Source organism: Homo sapiens, chromosome 2 (assembly GCF_000001405.40).
Source record: "Homo sapiens chromosome 2, GRCh38.p14 Primary Assembly".
NCBI classification, from domain to species: domain Eukaryota; kingdom Metazoa; phylum Chordata; class Mammalia; order Primates; family Hominidae; genus Homo; species Homo sapiens.
The window spans coordinates 129280085-129298807 of NC_000002.12; the positions used below are offsets into that span (position 1 = coordinate 129280085).

The following is an 18723-nucleotide window of genomic DNA, read 5'->3' on the forward strand; positions in this document are numbered from 1 at the left end:
CTGTCCCCATGACCCAAACACCTCTCTCTAGGCCCCACCTCCCAACAGTGCTACATCGGGTATCAAATTTCAACATGAGTTTTGGCAAGGAGAAATCACATCCAAACCATAGCAGATGCCCAGCAAACCTTTGTTGAATGTGATTGTATTGAAATAGCATTCCTTTGAGTGGTGCTATCCTAGTGGATCCAGTTGCCTTATGGAACTCAGGGATTTAAGCTTTATATTTATGGATACAAATTAGCTGGAACTTATTTCAAAGTGGTGAACTTATTTTACACTGGTGAGGACTTTAAACCAAGTTCTGGGGTCATTACTGATACCCCAAATCTACCACTTACTAGGTATGTGAATTGGAGCAAGTCACTTAATCTTTCTGAATCTAAGTGGTCTCACTAGCAAAGTCAGGGAGAATGTAGGTTTCCCATTGATAAAATGTTTATTATGATGCATACAACAAAATTATGTATGGGAAAGCAGGTGACCCATGTTAAAGTACGAACTCTGATTGCCTCCCTGCTGCTGTTGTTGAAGTTGAAGGGCCGGTGTTTGAAAGTGGCTTTAGATTCATTGTGTGCAGCACCCAAGGGTTGCTCCAGGACTAATGGGGGAAAGCCCTAGAGGGAAAGATTTCACTAAAAGAAGTAGGGTTTTAATGGCCAGAGCTGGGTGAGTCTTATGCTCTGCTGGCTCAGGCCAGTATAGATTATAGAAGACACCCAGGAGTGGGAGGCTACTTGGCCTCTGCCACCTTGGGGTCCCTGAAAATCCACCTTGATTTTTCCATGGCTGAGTATGCCCTCTTTTATTATACTTTAAGTTTTAGGGTACATGGACACAGGAAGGGGAACATCACACACTGGCTGTGGAGTATGCCCTCTTTTCTTAGCAAGAGTTGGTGGTGGGGAGGACAGTGGGCAGCATTTTCTGTTGCCCAAAATATTTCCCCAAGGGGCCAGTTTCCTGAGAGTGTACTTTGTTTTTTGTGAGCTATTGTATTACTTGCAGCAATCACCAAGCACGTTTGTGATCCTTCACAGAATCTGACAAAACATGGACATCCAGTTTGAGAGTCCCAGAATACTAATTTGTAAACCTGTCAGATTTGTCACAGTGGTGAGGAATGGTGTTAAAATTGCTTTCAACATCTTAATTAGTGGTAGCCTTTTAGAGAAATGCAGTATCTCCAGCTCATTTTTGTTTCTTATTTTTCATTTGTTTTTCCAGAAAAAGATGATTAAAATTTAAATCGTGAGGATCACCAGAAAACAATGTGCAATTTAGAAATGCTGATGCAAATGTGATTGAGGGTAAGGGGGCTTTCACTTGCTCCAGAATACTAAACAGAGGGCTCATTCCTGTGTCTCGTGTCCTACGCTTACACTTGACTTTCGAGCCTGGGACCGAGAGGCCCTTTGGAGGAACTGTGGAAGCCTCTGGTATAGTAGAGCAGTAAGCACCTTTGATCTGGTGTGAAAAACTTCATTCTGAGATGCCTGAAAACAGTAGCACTATAACGGTTGCTATTTACCGGGGACTAACTGTGTACCAGGCTCTTGGCATTAGTAGATTATGTCTCTTCTGGACTAATTCTACTAACAAACCTATGAGATAAGTATCATTAACATCCAGATGTTACAGACAAAGAAATGGAAGCTGTGAGAGGTAATGTGACTCCCCATGATCACACAGCCAGCAAATCTTTCTAATTCTGAAATCTGCACTTGTAATGACTATTTCATCTTACCCTTGGAGTAAAGGGTCTGCATATCTTCACCAGGAAAGCAGTGATGACAGCTGTGCTCCCTGTCTCCTGCAGGATGTGGATGGCCCGGTGCCCACTTACCTTTGCTGCTTGATCTCTTGCCAGGTCCCTGTGCTCCTTGTCCACACCCAGCAGGCAGTGACCTGCAGAGTGTACTGCATCATACATCTCAGTGTCTGCTGTTACTGTTTTCTCTGCCATCTGACAGTTGCCATTCCCGGCACCTGGTAGATGTTTATTTCCCATCAGAAGCTCAGAGCCTTCCTGGATTCCCCATATTGATTTGTAGATATCTGTTTAGGACCTCCATGACTCACTCCAACTTAGAAGTCCATTTTAGATTTTTTTTTTGTTGTTCATTTGTCTAATCTCACAGAATTTTCCACAGAGTTCATTGAGAAGGAAATAAAATTAATTTTCATATTGTTGCAGGACCCCTTTCTGAGGCTGGCACATTGCACCATAATACATATTTGATGAGGGAGGAGGGGAGGGAAGCCTGAGGGAAGCTTTGTCTAAGTTTCTGTCTAGCGGCTGCTCTTTCTCTGCAGAATAATCTCCAATAAGGGGAAAAACGCATGGAGAAAGCAAAACATTAAAACTGCCAGGAAAGCAGAGACTCTTGTCTCCACGTAGCTTGGTTTAGTTCTTTCCTAGGAACTTAGCATTGTGGTTGTGATACCAATCCAGGTAGTTGTGTATAGCTGTGGTTCTTTGCTCTCATGGCTGTATAATACAGGAATGTATCACCATTTACTTTTTTTTAAACTTGGTAGATACTGCCAGTGGTGTTCCAAAAGAATTGTGCCAGTTTACACTTCCGGCAACAAAGTATAAGCATTTCAGTTGCTCTGAACTGTGCGAAATATTTTTATTGCCTCTATGTTTCATTTTAGCTACTCTGGTGGGTGTGTAGAGTTATATCATTGTTTCAGTTAGTGAATGCTGTGTAACAAATGATACAAAAACTTACAGGCTTAAAATCAAAACCATCTTCCTACATTGTGCAATTACATGGGTCAGCAATCTGATTTGGGTCAGCTGGGGAGTTTCTCTGCTAATCCTTCCAGGGGTCATTTATGCTGCTCTACTTATCTAAGGGCTAAATTGGTACTGGATAGTTCACCATGGCCACACTCCCAGGTTTGACATTTGGTATTGGTTGCTGGCTCTGCCTCCCTGTCCATATTGCTCTCTTTTCCTTAAGGAGGCTCACCTGGGCATTTTGCATGGTGACAGCAACATTCCAAGGAGGCACATAACATCACTTCTTTCACATTCTAATGGTAAAAGCAAGTGGCAAGGCCATTCCAGGTTCAAGAGTTTCTACAGTTTTGTATTTAAATATGTTATATTTGTGGAAATAAATGTTACATTTTTATGGAAGGAGGGGCAAAAACTCCTTGCAAAGGAACATACCTGCAGAGATATAAATTAATACGGCCATTTTCGCAAACAATATAACCACTATTGTTGTGATATTGATTTGCATTCCCCAGATCATTAATAGATTTTAGCATGTTTTCACAATTTGATGGCCCTTGCATCTGCTATTCTGTGAAGTGATTGTTTAAGTCAGTGAACTCTTTGAAGGTGTCCATGATATATTTTGGAAAAATGTACTTTATTAGATATATCTATCATATATAATCTCTGCTCTATGTGCTAGTCTTTTCGTTCTCCTAACAGTGTCCTCTGCTAAATGTATATTCTCAATTTTAATGTCCTCATATTTATCAACTCTTTCTTTAAAAACAGCACTTTTGGCCAGGCATGGGGGCTCAAGCCTGTAATCCCAGCACTTTGGGAGGCCAAGGTGGGCAGGTCACCTGAGGTCAGGAGTTCAAGAACAGCCTGGCCAACATGGTGAAACCCCGTCTCTAGAAAAATACAAAAATTAACCAGGCATGATGGCAGGAACCTGTAATCCCAGCTGTTCAGGAGGCTGAGGTGGGAGAATCACTTGAACCCAGGAGGCGGAGGTTGCAGTGAGCCGAGATCACGCCACTGCACTCCAGCCTGGGTGACACAGTGAGACTCCATCTCCAAAAGAAAAAAGCAGTTTTATTCCCTATTTAAAAAATATTTTCCTGACAGAAATTCATGAAGATAAATTTTAAGTTTTATTCTTAAAGTATTATTGTTTTGCTGTTCATATTTGCATAAACAATCCATCTGAAACTGATTTTTGTGTAAACTTAGAGGTAGGGATCAAAATTCATTACTTTTTTCTGTATGGTAACCAATTGATTTCATATAATGTATTGAATATAAAAATTTATATACACCACATGAGGGTGCCACCTTTGTCATATAATAGATGACTATATTATGCATCTGTTTCTTGACCCTTTATTTTGTCCATTTCATTTGTCTTTTTCTGCACCATTATAAAAAGTGTTATGTATTTTATTTTTATAAGTCTTGACATCTGATATTGCAGAATAATCTTTCTGCTCATCAAGATTGCCTGTTACTTTTGCACTTTGCATTTTTTAAACATTTTAGCATCAGTGAGTCAATTTTTTGAAACAACTAGCTGGGATTGTGATTGAGATTGCATTGAGTATAACAATTTGGGGAGAAATAACATCTTTGCAATATGGGTTTCTCCTGTCAATGAACATGGTGTATCCCTCCATTTATATTGTTATTCTTTAATTTATAGTAACTATATGGATTATAGCAACAATACTGTGTACTCCTCAATGTGAAGGTACATATTTCATGACATTTATTCTTACTAGATTTTGTAGCTGCAATTTTATTAAGATCATTGTAAATTCACATGCAGCTGCAAAAAAAATAATAATATAGAGAGAGCCTCTGTACGATTTACCAAGTTCCCTTCAATGGTAACATTTGGCAAAAGTATAGTAGTATGTCAAAACCAGAATACAATCTACTGATCTTATTACTATTTCTCCAGTTTTACTTGTAGTCATTTGTTTGGGTGTGTGCATTTAGTTCTGTACAATTTTATCATAATTATAGGATTTTGTATCCACCACCACAGTCGAGATGTTAAACCATTCAATTGCCTCGAGATTCCTTTGCACGGCTCATTTATCACCAAGCACACCTTCCTCATGCTCACCTTGCTGCCTCCCCTAAGCCCTAGACATAACGTATCTATTCCTCATTTTTTTAAATGCTGTCACTTCACAAAGTTAAATAAAGAGAATCACACAGTATGTAACATTTTTGATTTGGCATTTTTGTACTCAGAAAAATTTCATGGAGATTCATCCAGTTGTTGGATGTATCAGTAGTCTATTCCTTTTTACTGCTGATCAGTATTTAATGGTATACATGTAACAGTTTGTTTAACCATTGGCCTGTTTAAGAGCATCTTGACTTTCCAGTTCTTGGTGACAACAAATAAAACTGCTATGAACATTCACATACTGTTTTTGTGTGTGCATAAGTTTTTATTTCATTTTATTCTCAAGAGAGCTACTGCTGGGTTGTGTGTTAATTGCATGATTAATTTTATAAGAAATTGAGAAACCATTTTTTAGTGACTGGACCATATTACATTCCCAACAAGGATGTATGAGGGGTCCAGCTTCTCCCCATTCTCACCAATATTTGGCACTGTCACACAATTTTTTTTTTTTTTTGAGATGGAGTCTTACTCTGTCGCCCAGACTGGAGTGCAGTGGCATGATCTCGGCTCACTGCAAGCTCCGCCTCCCGGGTTCAGGCCATTTTCCTGCCTCAGCCTCCCGAGTAACTAGGACTACAGGCACACACCACCATGCGTGGCTAATTTTTTTGTATTTTTTAGTAGAGATGGGATTTCACCACTTTAGCCAGGATGGTCTCGATCTCCTGACCTCGTGATCCGCCTGCCTCGGCCTCCCAAAGTGCTGGGATTATAGGCGTGAGCCACCACACAGGGCCAGCACCATCACATTTTTTAAAAATTACATATTCTGATCAATTTGTAGTGGTGTCTCATTGTGGTTTTAGTTTGAATTTCCTTGGTGGCTGATGGTACCAAACATCATTTCCTGGGCTCACTTGCCAGCTGCAGAGCCTCTGGTGAAATTTCTGTTCAGGTATTTTGCTCATTTTCCATATTTAACTAGTTGAATTCCTTACACAGTCTAGATATTAGTCCTTTGTCAAATGTATAGTTTGCAAATATTTTCAACCAGGCTATAATTTGTCTTTCTATTCTCTTCACATGAGCTTTTGCCGAGCAAAAGTTTTTCTTTCTTTTTAATATTAATAATGCCCAACTTACCAAATTTTTCTTCTTTAACCATCTCTAAAAATTGTACTATTTTATATAGACTATTTAATCCATTTATATTTAATGTATCTGGTTTCTTAACTATCATCTTACTATTTGTTTTTATATTACCTTTTTTATGTTCCCTTTTATCTTTTTCTAGATTAATCAGATATTTTTATTATTCCTTTTTTAACTTATTATTTATGCATTGTTTTATTTAAGAATTTACCTTAGATATTCTAATTTGCACTTTAAAAAAAATTCTTCTGAAAAAAACAGGACACATGCAGAACGTGCAGGTTTGTTACACAGGGATACGTGTGCCATTGTTGTTTGCTGCACCTATTGACCCATCCTCTAAGTCCCCTTCCCTCAACCCCCCACCCCCCAACAGGCCCTGATGAGTGTTGTTCCCCTCCCTGTGTCCATGTGCTCTCAATACTCAACTCCCACTTATGAGTGAGAACGTGTGGTGTTTGATTTTCTGTTCCTGTGTTAGTTTGCTGAGGATGATGGCTTCCAGCTTCATCCATGTCCCTGCAAAGGACATTAACTCATTCCTTTTTATGGTTGCATAGTATTCTGTAGTGTAAATGTACCACATTTTATTTATCCAGTCTATCATTGATGGGCATTTGGGTTGGTTCCATGTCTCTGCTATTGTAAGTAGTGCTGCAGTAAACATACATCTGCATGTGCCTTTGTAGTAGAATGACTTATATTCCTTTGGGTATATACCCAGTAATGGGATTGCTGGGTCAAATGGTATTTCTAGTTCTAGATCCTTGAGGTATCACCATACTGTCTTCCACAATGGTTCAACTAATTTACATTCCCACCGATAGTGTAAAAGCATTCCTCTTTCTCCACAGCCTCACCAGCATCTATTGTTTCCTGACTTTTTCATAATTGCCATTCTGACTGGCACGAGATGGCATCTCATTGCAGTTTTGATTTGCATTTCTCTGATGATCAGTGATGTTGAGCTTTTGTTCATGTTTGTTGGCTGCTAAATGTCTTCTTTTGAGAAGTGTCTGTTCATATCCTTTGCCCACTTTTTGATGGGGTTGTCTGTTTTTTCTTGTAAATATGTTTAAGTTCCTTGTAGATTCTGGATATTAGACCTTTGTCAGATGGGTAGATTGCAAAAATTATCTCCCACTCTGTAGGTTGCCTGTTCACTCTGATGGTAGTTTCTTTTGCTGTGCAGAAGTGCTTTAGTTTAATTAGATCCCATTTGTCAATTTTGGCTTTTGCCGCAATTGCTTTTGGCATTTTTGTCATGAAGTCTTTGTCCATGCCAATGTCCTGAATGGTATTGCTAGGTTCTGAGACCACAGTGCAATCAAATTAGAACTCAGGATTAAGAAACTCACCCAAAACCATACAAGTTCATGGAAATTGAACAACCTGCTTCTGAATGACTCCTGGGTAAATGTTGAAATTAACACAGAAATCAAGAAGTTCTTTGAAACCAATGAGAACAAAGAGACAACATACCAGAATCTCTGGGACATAGCTAAAGCAGTGTTAAGAGGGAAATTTACAGCACTAAATGCCCATATCAGAAAGCTGGAAAGATCTCAAATCGACACCCTAACATCACAATTAAAAGAGCTGGAGAGGCAAAAGCAAACCAATCCAAAAGCTAGCAGAAGACAAGAAATAACTGAGATCAGAGAAGAATTGAAGGAGATAGAGATCAAAAAAACACTCCAAAAAAAAAAAAAAAAAAAAAAAAAAAACGAATCCAGGAGCTGGTTTTTTGAAAAAATAAATAAATAAATAAAAAATAACAAAAGAGAGAGACCACCAGCTAGACTAATAAAGAAGAGAAAGAAGAATTAAATAGACACAACAAAAAATGGTAAAGGGGATATCACCACTGACCCCACAGAAATACAAACTATCTAATTTGCATTCTTTTTCTGCATAACAAAAAATATTGATTTTATATTTTCTCCAGTAATTCTAAAACCTCAGAACAATTTACTTGCATTCTTCAGGGCCTATTTTTGTGCTATTGTTCCCCTGAATTTTAATTCTGCATGCATTATAAACTCTATGTCACATTGCTATTATTGTTGGTGCAGAATATGTTCCACCAACATCAATATACATCAATATTTTCTTACATATACACTTCTTTCAGTGGCTTTTTTTCCTGCAATTCTATGTTTCCCTGTGGGGTCATATACTTGTGCTTTAAAAAAATCTTTTTTTTTTCTTTTTTTGATAGAGGTCTGTTGGTAAGATATTCTTTCAGTTTTTCACATCATTTAACTGATAGAAGAGATTTTCTCATAATGAAACCAATTCATTTTTAGCTATCACTTTACTTCTAGCATGTGTGCAAAAATACTGGAATTAAAAAATTAGATTATTTTGAAAAACAAGTTAATCAGTCTAAATGAAAAATTGTGCTTTCTCGAGTGAAATGCAAATGTTCCTTCTGCAGATACTTTTAAAAAGACATTATCTTTGGGTGCAGTCTTCTTAAAACAACCACTAACTTTTGAAATAGATACTGACACATCTTCTGCAGACATGTCTTCTGGTTTCTAAATGGTCATTAATAACACTTTGGCTCTAATGATTATTATGTCGGCATTTTGTGCATGCTTGTTAACATTCTTGAAACACTAATTTATGTGCTGACTTTGTCATCAAACATTTAACGTGTTGAGCTCACTGCTGCTAAAAGTGTTTATTAAAATTTTTTGAAAATATTACCAAACAATATTATTAATAAGTATATTTACAGGATGAAAAAAAGAAGTAAAAGCATTGAGACCACTCTTAGAGCCTCAATGGAAAGGCTCTTCAGTGTCTATTTATTTTTATCATTACTTTTCAGATGCACTCAACCACAGATCCTACTGACATGAAGGTTTATGCACCTTGAGGACTGCTGAACACTGACACAGCTAGCTGGTGCATCTAAGAGACTGGCTAGGGCAGCAGCTTTGAATACTTCTCCAACTACCACAGAGACTGCAAGGCATCCATTCAGGCACAACTCATTTTATCAGCAAGCCTTCTGCAAGCCGGTCCCAAAAAGAGAAATGAGCTGTGGCCTGGAAAGGGTGAGAATGAAGGGACACGGGTTGCTGCCGGTGGTTTCAGTTTTAATCGTGTTCTACATTGGAAAACTGTGTTTACTACATATATATATATATCTTTATATACATATACATATATATATATTTTTTTTTGGAGGCAGAGTCTCGCTCTGTTGGTCAGGCTGGAGTACAGTGGCACGATCTCAGCTCGCTGCAACCTCCGCCTCCCAAGTTCAAGCAATTTCTTTTTTTTTTTTTAATTTTATTATTATTATACTTTAAGTTTTAGGATACATGTGCATAATGTGCAGGTTTGTTACATATGTATACATGTGCCATGTTGGTGTGCTGCACCCATTAACTCGTCATTTAGCATTAGGTATATCTCCTAATGCTATCCCTCCCCTCCTCCCCACCCCACAACAGTCCCCAAAGTGTGATGTTCCCCTTCCTGTGTCCATGTGTTCTCATTGTTCAATTCCCACCTATGAGTGAGAACATGTGGTGTTTGGTTTTTTGTCCTTGAGATAGTTTGCTGAGAATGATGGTTTCCAGTTTCATCCATGTCCCTACAAAGGACATGAACTCTTCATTTTTTATGGCTGCATAGTATTCCATGGTGTATATGTGCCACATTTTCTTAATCCAGTCTATCGTTGTTGGGCATTTGGGTTGGTTCCAAGTCTCTGCTATTGTGAATAGTGCCGCAATAAACATACGTGGGCATGTGTCTTTATAGCAGCATGATTTATAATCCTTTGGGTATATACCCAGTAATGGGATGGCTGGGTCAAATGGTATTTCTAGTTCTAGATCCCTGAGGAATCACCACACTGACTTCCACAATGGTTGAACTAGTTTACAGTCCTGCCAACAGTGTAAAAGTGTTCCCACTTCTCCACATCCTCTCCAGCACCTGTTGTTTCCTGGCTTTTTTAAGATCGCCATTCTAACTGGTATGAGATGGTATCTCATTGTGGTTTTGATTTGCATTTCTCTGATGGCCAGTGATGATAAGCATTTTTTTCATGTGTTTTTTGTCTGCATAAATGTCTTCTTTTGAGAAGTGTCTGTTCATATCCTTTGCCCACTTTTTGATGGGGTTGTTTTTTTCTTGTAAATTTGTTTGAGTTCATTGTAGATTGTGGATATTAGCCCTTTGTCAGATGAGTAGGTTGTGAAAATTTTCTCCCATTTTGTAGATTGCCTGTTCACTCTGATGGTAGTTTCTTTTGCTGTGCAGAAGCTCTTAGTTTAATGAGATCCCATTTGTCAATTTTGGCTTTTGTTGCCATTGCTTTTGGTGTTTTAGACATGAAGTCCTTGCCCATGCCTATGTCCTAAATGGTATTGCCTAGGTTTTCTTCTAGAGTTTTTAAGTTCAAGCAATTTCTGCCTCAGCCTTCTGAATAGCTGGGATTACAGGCACCCGCCACCACGCCTGGCTATTTTTTTTTTTTTTTTGTATTTTTAGTAGAGACAGGATTTTACCATCTTGGCCAAGCTGGTCTTGAACTCCTGAGCATATGCTTTTTATATACATTACTATATGAAATAATGGAAGAATAGGAATGACAAGGTTCAGGTCTACCAAACCCAATCTGATTTATTTTAATGCAACTATTCATAATAAAAGTTATTAAAATATAGAATCTGTTAAAATATAAATATAAAATATAAATTTTAACCAAATGGAATGCCAAGATAAAGATTTGTTGTTAACAAGGGCTCACAGAACAGGATCAACAGAATGGGAAAAATGCCTGGAGAAAAGGGTCCAGGTATCAGTAAAGACATCACACCCACAGTGATCAGGTTATCAGTGAGTACCAGTAGATACCGAGTGGAAGGAAGTCAAAGTCTCCATTTATACCCAAATGTCTGGCATGCAGTTTGCTGAATGTAACTACTAAGTTGACTGTACAATCATTGCCTTTTTATTAAGTTCAATCATTCTCAGTGATCATTCTAATCCGAGAACCCATTTATCCAGCTACTATTATAAGAAGGCACCTAGGTAGGACTGACATTTACAAAGGCTAACATCAGATGAGGAGCACTGTCTGTGGAGTGTCAAAATTTCAGGGTCTGCCACATTTTCACAGTAGCAAAGAAAATGAAACAGGACATTAAATGTGTAGTCACAGGTCAGAGTTTTCATTCCTTTAAGAACGGAATACTTGAATAAAACAGAGGATGGGTGTGACGTTGGAAAGCTACATTGACACATGAAGAGTCCTCACACGGCAGGTGAAGGATTAGAACACTTATCCTTAGGTGCTGTGAGCCATCGAAAGCTTGTAGGCAAGAAGCAGAACTGTGGGAGGAAGATTGAAGGAAGATTAGTGTGGTAGAGACATGGGAGCAGAACGGAGGGAAGCCTGAAGGCAGGGCCGCATATCAAAGCAGCAACAATTGTCCAGGGATGAGGCAACAAGACTAAGGGATTGTTTGTTCTCTGATATTGGATTTACTTTGTACGTTTAAATTTTACCACTGACTGGTAGTTTTGTGACAAAATAAAAATATGCATGGCAGGGCTCACCTGGCATAAACAGATGGGGCTTCAGAAGTTCTCTGTAAGTGTCTACACCTCTGTCCTTGGACCATCATCCCTTTCAGTGGTGAAGACTTTGGATCTGTTACCCTGTGAGGTTTCCCTGTGAGGTTGAAACCCATATCAAAAGTGTTGACAGTACCTGCTGTGTTGGGTGGACTTCCTCCTGAGTGAAGGTCCTCACCCTGAGTGAGTTATTTCACTTGGAAAAAAGGAATTTGTATCATTGGGAGTGGTTCAATCTAAAACAAGGATTGAGAGTAAGGCCCCAAGCCTTGGAAAGAAGAAAGGAATATTATTTTTTGAACACTAATTTTATGGTAGCTTCAACATCTCGTTTAATTCCTCAGTATTAGAACAGAGATATTATAATACCCATCAACTGATAAAGAAATTAGCATACAGTTTAAATTATGCAAGGTGATAAATCTAGTCATTGGTGGAGGGACGATTCTAAGCAAGATGTGGTTAGTGATGGAGTTCACGGGATTTCCACGAACGGCAACAGGAAAAAAGTAATAAAAGAGCCTGTATTCAAGGATAGAGATTACACATTTGACTCTATAAGTCTTTTCCTTTCACTTAGGTACAACCTAGATCAATTAATTAAATGTTACCAGCAAGCCAATTACAGCAAGGCCAAGTTAGATCAAGAATGAAGCAATGTGACATTTTAGGGGTGAGTTAGTACCAGTGTCCCTGTATATGTGACCTGTGATCAATTGTTGCTTTTACTGCCCTGATATTTCTCATTATGGTCTGAGGAAATTGTTAGTTTTCCTCTTTCAAAGGAAGTCATGGGACTCAGTATCAGTCTTGTCAAGCGTAATGGAGGCTGTTTGATGTTGGACATAATCATGAGGATCAAGGTAAGATGCCACAGGTAGGACCATGAGTGGGAGCCACTGAGCTTCACCAATGCACAACTCTGCTGAGGGCGGCAGTGCAAGAGGCTCTTCCCCTCTCCCCAGCTTGGTCACACTGTACCCAGATCATCATATAGTCTCTGGTTCCATTAGTGCTAATAGCCCTGCAATGCCTGACTTCAATACTGGTCACACCATCTCTGACCTTTGAAACTTATAGTCAGTCACTGAGTTCCCCAGTTGACACTAATGCTTCCCACAAACCCTGGCTAACTTAAGGTTGTCCCAGCCATTCTTTACTCTTGGCTGTCTCCAGTAGGATGTTCACTGAAGTTACAATCCTTGGGACCCAAATTTAGGCATTTTTCAGAAAGGTGGGGGAAGAGGGTTAGTCCTTCTGTCCTACTTCATCTTCAACTAAACAAGAAGGTGCCTACAAAGGACATAGCTGAAACCCTACAATGTTGGCGAACAGTCTGGAGACCTGGCGGCCTGGAACCCACACCAGGAAGGAGGACTGGTTGTTAGCATTCTGAGCCCTGGGACTGCTGAGACTCTGAATAATGGGAGGGGAGTTCAGACAGAACTGAGCCCTGTTAACAGTCCATGCCAGTGGGAGCATGGCGCTCAGTGATTAGCGAACCTCTACTTCCACAATGCAGCAAATGCAGTTTTAATTGAAGCCATGCTTTTCTTTCCATTCATTCATTGTGTCCTTTAGTGATTAATTAATTATTCTCTAATACTTCCACACATACTGGGCAGTTTTCCAACCTTTTAGTTATAAGGAAAATATAATAAAATTACAATGAGGTATCACTACACATCTACCAGAATGACTGGAGTTAAAATACCAACTGTTGGCATAGTTACAAAGTGGAGAATTCATTCACTGCTGGTTAGAATGCAAATTGACAGAGTCACTTTGGAAAACTGTTTGGCACTGTGCACTAGAGCTAAGCATATGCACACCATATGGCACAGAAATTCACCCAACAGACATGGGTACTTACATGTCCTGAAAAATATGTTCAGACATGTTCTTAAAGACATTATGTGGAAGAGACCCCAAAGAGGAAGCAATCCTGATAAGACGGATGAATAAAGTATGATATTTTTATACAATGGAATACTATTCACCAATGAAAATGAACAAAATAAAACTATACTCTAAAATATGGGTGAATTTCATAAACAACATTTTCTGAAAGCAGACAGACACAAAAGAGTAAATAATGACTTATTCCATTTATACAAGTTTTAAGATTAGGAAAACTAATATGTGCTGTTTGAAATTGGGACAGTGTTTACCTCTGGGAGGATGCAGGGCATAGCAGGGAGCATGTAGGGGGCCTCTGAAGTGTGGTGATTTTATGCTTTCTGTATTTCTTATATGGGCGTATTCTCTTTGTCATAAGTCATTGAGGACTTATGACTTGTGCAATTTTTGTAGATACTGCACTTCAATTTCAAAATGTTTATAAAAAGACCCATCAGTGTGCTGTATTCAGGAAACCCATCTCACATGCAGACACACACATAGGCTCACAATAAAGGGATGGAGGAAGATCTACCAAGCAAATGGAAAACAAAAAGGGCAGGGGTTGCAATCCTAGTCTCTGACAAAACAGACTTTAAACCAACAAAGATCAAAAGAGACAAAGAAGGCCATTACATAATGGTAAAAGGAACAATTCAACAAGAAGAACTGACTATCCTAAATATATATGCACCCAATACAGGAGCACCAAGATTCATAAAGCAAGTCCTTAGAGACCTACAAAGAGATTTAGACTCCCACACAATAATAATGGGAGACTTTAACACCCCACTGTCAACATTAGACAGATAAACGAGACAGAAGTTAACAAGGATATCCAGGAATTGAACTCAGCTCTGCACCAAGCGGACCTAATAGACATCTACAGAAGTCTCCACCCCAAATCAACAATGATAGACTGGATTAAGAAAATGTGCCACATATACACCATGGAATACTATGCAGCCATAAAAAAGGATGAGTTCATGTCCTTTGTAGGGACATGGATGAAGCTGGAGACCATCATTCTCAGCAAACTATCGCAAGGACAAAAAACCAAACACTGCATGTTCTCACTCATAGGTGGGAATTGAACAATGAAAACACTTGGACACAGGAAGGGGAACATCACACACCAGGGCCTGTTGTGGGGTGGAGGGAGGGGGGAGGGATAGCATTAGGAGATATACCTAATGTAAATGATGAGTTAATGGGTGCAGCACACCAACATGGCACATGTATACATATGTAACAAACCGGCATGTTGTGCACATGTACTATATATATATATATATATATGTATATATATATATATATAATAAAATGTGATATCTTTCTCAAAAAAAAGTGTGCATATGTATGTGTGTGCATTCGTGTGTGTGTGTGCAGAGAGAGTGGGAGATTTATTTTAAAGAATATTTGTGGGGCTTTATCTCCTTATTCAGTGCTTCCAGGGAATTTTGCTTGGGTGTAGTCCCCAGGCCTTTCGAGGGACACGTCCACATCAGGTAGTGGGGCAGAGGGAGGAGGGAGCATTGCCCTGACACTGCCCTAGCTACTCAGCCAGGGCACTGGAGGCTTCGGTTCTGCAGATGGTAAAGGTAAAATTCTGGCTACTACTATGCTGCTCACAGACCCCATTCTTCCTAAGAGTTTGAAGCCCACTTGAGTATCCATGATCTTCAGTTGCAACATTTTGAAAAACCCCAAGAAGTCACTATGGAGTGAGTAGCAATGGGGCTAAGGGGAAAGCCTGTAATAAACCCAAAATAGAATTACTTTTACTTTCTTCAAGAAGAGACAGTTACAAGGAAGATGGACGGGGAAGAACAGAAATAATGGTGTGCTCCATCAGTGTGGGATTTGCAAAGCAATTCCTCTTTCAGTGGAGGACTTCAGTTTCTTCACGGGGAATTAATAACGTCAATCTTTAGTTCAATTATAGTCAACAAATATTGCCTGCATTCCTATTATGTGCCAGATGCAATGCCAGGTGTGGAGGATTCAGATGAAGTGTGCAATTCCCACTGTGCTCATGGTTGACTCCTTAGCCAAATGGATGGGCACACAAGCAAAGAGCTTGACAGTACAAATGATTTCACAGAAAGGCAAACAATTTTTGCAGGATCAATAAAAACAGCATGGGGTGACTAATTACAGATTCCTAACTAAAGTGTTTTATTAAATTGTGGCTTTCTTCCCCCACATAAACAGAGTTGGCTGTCCAGGGCTTTGGTGCAGGCTCTAGGAAGCCACCTTCATTCCTTCTACTTTACCATGTTGGTGTGTATCCTCCTTCCTCAAGGTCACATAATGGCTGCTGGAGCTCAAGCCTTTTGTCTAAGTTCCAGAGAGAAGGAAAGGGAAGGTAAAGGAGCAAGAGGAAGACCCTGGCCATTTCCTAGAAGCTCCACCCAATGATGTCCCTTACATCTCATTGGCCCTTCTTACTGCAATGGTATGTGGGAAATGTAGTATTTTATTTGAGCACTTTGACACTCTGAATACATCACGTATTTATTACTAAGTGTATATCAGCTGGTCTTCAACCACAGGATCAGAACCACTGTGAGTTATATGGAATAAGGGAGTAATGAACAGGTTTGGACCATTTGTAATTTTTGGAGATGGTTAAGCAGTCTATGTAAGCCTTTATCTTTATGCCTCGTGTTGGTTCTGAGCCTTAAGTCAGCCTGGCCATTAGTCAGGAGGAAGACTGGAAGTGACATGAGGGATTGCAAGGACAAACTGGAAGCTATTCGCATGACTGGATCCCATAAAGACACACTGGAATCTGTGAGGATAAACTGGACCCCACATCTGTCTCTCACAGTCTTCACCCTTAATGGCATGGGTGACCTGTAGGAAAAGCTGATGCCATTTGCAAAGAAGTGATGTATGCGCTACCCAGAACTTGGAGCAGCTGAAAGAGGCAGTCTGCTAGAACTGCAGGAGCCAGGAGGCAGCAAGGCGAGCCAGCAGGGCAGAGACAAGAGTCCCCAGCCCAGCAGTGTCTGGTGCCCTACATGGTACTTCAGAGCATACGCAGAGCCTGCTGGTTCACCTCTGCCTCCAAAATCTTATACAAACTCCTTTCTTTTCTGGTCAACCCTTACCCAAAACCATACAAGAGGGAATTCAGGGAACAGTAGTTCGAATTTAGTTAAGTTGATATAGTTCAGGACTATAGTCTCAAGGTAGAGGGGATAAGGGGCATGGTGCCAGCAGAGAGCCATATCTCCCACAGAAGGAGAGCAGTCAGCCAGAACTGGGTTGAAAAGGATGACGTGTTTTCTAAGTGCACGGGAAACTTCTCAGATGAGAATAGCATGTGTGCCAAAGAGGAAGAAAACACAGCGTGGTGTTCCACAGGCACTTCCAAATTGCTAGAGCATGAGACAAAAATGGGGTTGGAGGCGTGGGAGGAGAGGAAGCTGAGGACCATAGAACTATATTGACCTCCGTTTTATGTACATAACCTTGTAATATCATGGAAAACATGAAAACTCCTAACACCCCTGTGTTTGTCAGGACCTTGGCCCCTTGCCAAGCATATGGGGCTCCATAAATCAGTTAGAACTGTGTCTGGGTAAGTAACAGAAATTCCAATGACAGTAGCCTAAATAGAAAAGGTGCTATTTGTCACATATTACAAAATGTCTGGGAAAACAGGGCAGGTGTGATAGCTGAGCAATGACATCGGGCCTTTTCAATACATGTGCTCTGTTATCCCTTCTGAATGTTTCAGATTGGGTTCATTGGAAACAGATGTGAGACCAGGCATTTCCTTAAGAGGGTTTACTGGGGAGAGCTTTCAGGAGACGTACCAGTTAGGGACATGAGGAAGGCAGGTCTGGGCAGTGGGAGATGCTGAACAGCAAAGCAGTAACAACTCATGCCTCAGTCAATCCTAAGGAGTCTCTGGAGCTGGGATGCCCCTCAGAGTCATCCCAAATGCAGGCCCTCCATATTCCACATCAGCCCATCATTGCCTGGGCTGTGGCGCCTCCTTTAGGCCAAGGGCAACCTTAAGAAGCAACACAGTTGTGTCTTCAGCTACCACTCTCAATATATGGGGGACAGGTCTTGGCAGAGCCCTCTGGAATCTACTGCAGTTGATGAGGTTTAATCCTTATGCACGTCACTTCATGCCACAAGGTAGATGCTACGCCTCATGGTCTCACATCCCCTCCTAGGCAGGTTCTAGAGGTGCAAATGGGCAGAGAAACTCCTTCTCAACAAGGCTGGGCCTTTCCACTCATGAAAAGTGTGTCCTTCTGAGGGATTTCTACCAACACTTTATGTGCTTGAGCTGTAACCCATTATCATCTCTACTGTTAGGGAAGTGGGGAGTTTAATGCTAAGGATACTACTAAGGACTCTGAAACATCTGCGTTCCGTAGTAAAAGGAGGAGGGAATGGGTATTTGGAAGACAGATAGCAGGTCTGACACCCTGCAGATGGTGACTTTAAAAGGAGTTAAGTAGACTTGGTCTCTGCCTACCTAATGTTCAATCTCAACTGGCAAAGGTTCAAGGAAAATAAAACCATGTCACACTATTAGTGCAGAGGAATACTGGAACACAGCTCTGGAAAATAATTAGGAATGGATGCTAGAGAAACTCTAGCACCTGAAGGCATAAAGGAGATGAGCATGTGATGTGCGTTTCACCATCATTTATAACACCCATCTACAAAGCCTAAATGTCCAACGCAGGGACATGGATGAATAAAATGCAATCACTCATATAATTTATTCATTCACTCACAAATGTTTATTAAGGCTCTATTAAATGTCGGCCTTCATGCCTCCTTTTCAGGGCCCTGAGAATTGGCCAAAAAGACCTGGCTCATCCATGGTACGCTGTTGCTGGTCTGGTCACTTCTTTCTGAGGCTGCTTTTGCTCAACTAGACTCCTATTTGTTTCTTTCTTAAAGCTGCAGCAAAACTTTGGACTGAATGCATCATGTCCCATTTATTGGAAATCATTGTTAATGTCATATTTCACAAGATATCATATAGGAGGCAAACAGAGCAGTGTGGTCCCTAAAGTCTTGGCTTCCCAGTCCCAGCTGGCAAGACCCTAGAGCTAACTACATCTGGGTCAGGCAGAGCATGTCCAACCGATTACCATTAAGTATTATTAGACACTTTAAGTGAAGCCAATTTTTACATCCGTGAGAATAATCG

At 40.1% G+C, this 18723-nt stretch overlaps 1 long non-coding RNA gene across 1 annotated transcript in view; it reads left to right on the top strand.

The window, feature by feature from the left end:
* LOC105373612 (uncharacterized) overlaps window positions 1-9072 on the top strand; it is a 45936-nt gene extending 36864 nt beyond the window's left edge. The window contains exon 3 of the long non-coding RNA XR_007087234.1: window positions 8866-9072. This is a non-coding gene — a long non-coding RNA (uncharacterized LOC105373612). The remainder of the gene's footprint in view (window positions 1-8865) is intronic.
* The last annotated feature ends 9651 nt before the right edge of the window (window positions 9073-18723 follow it).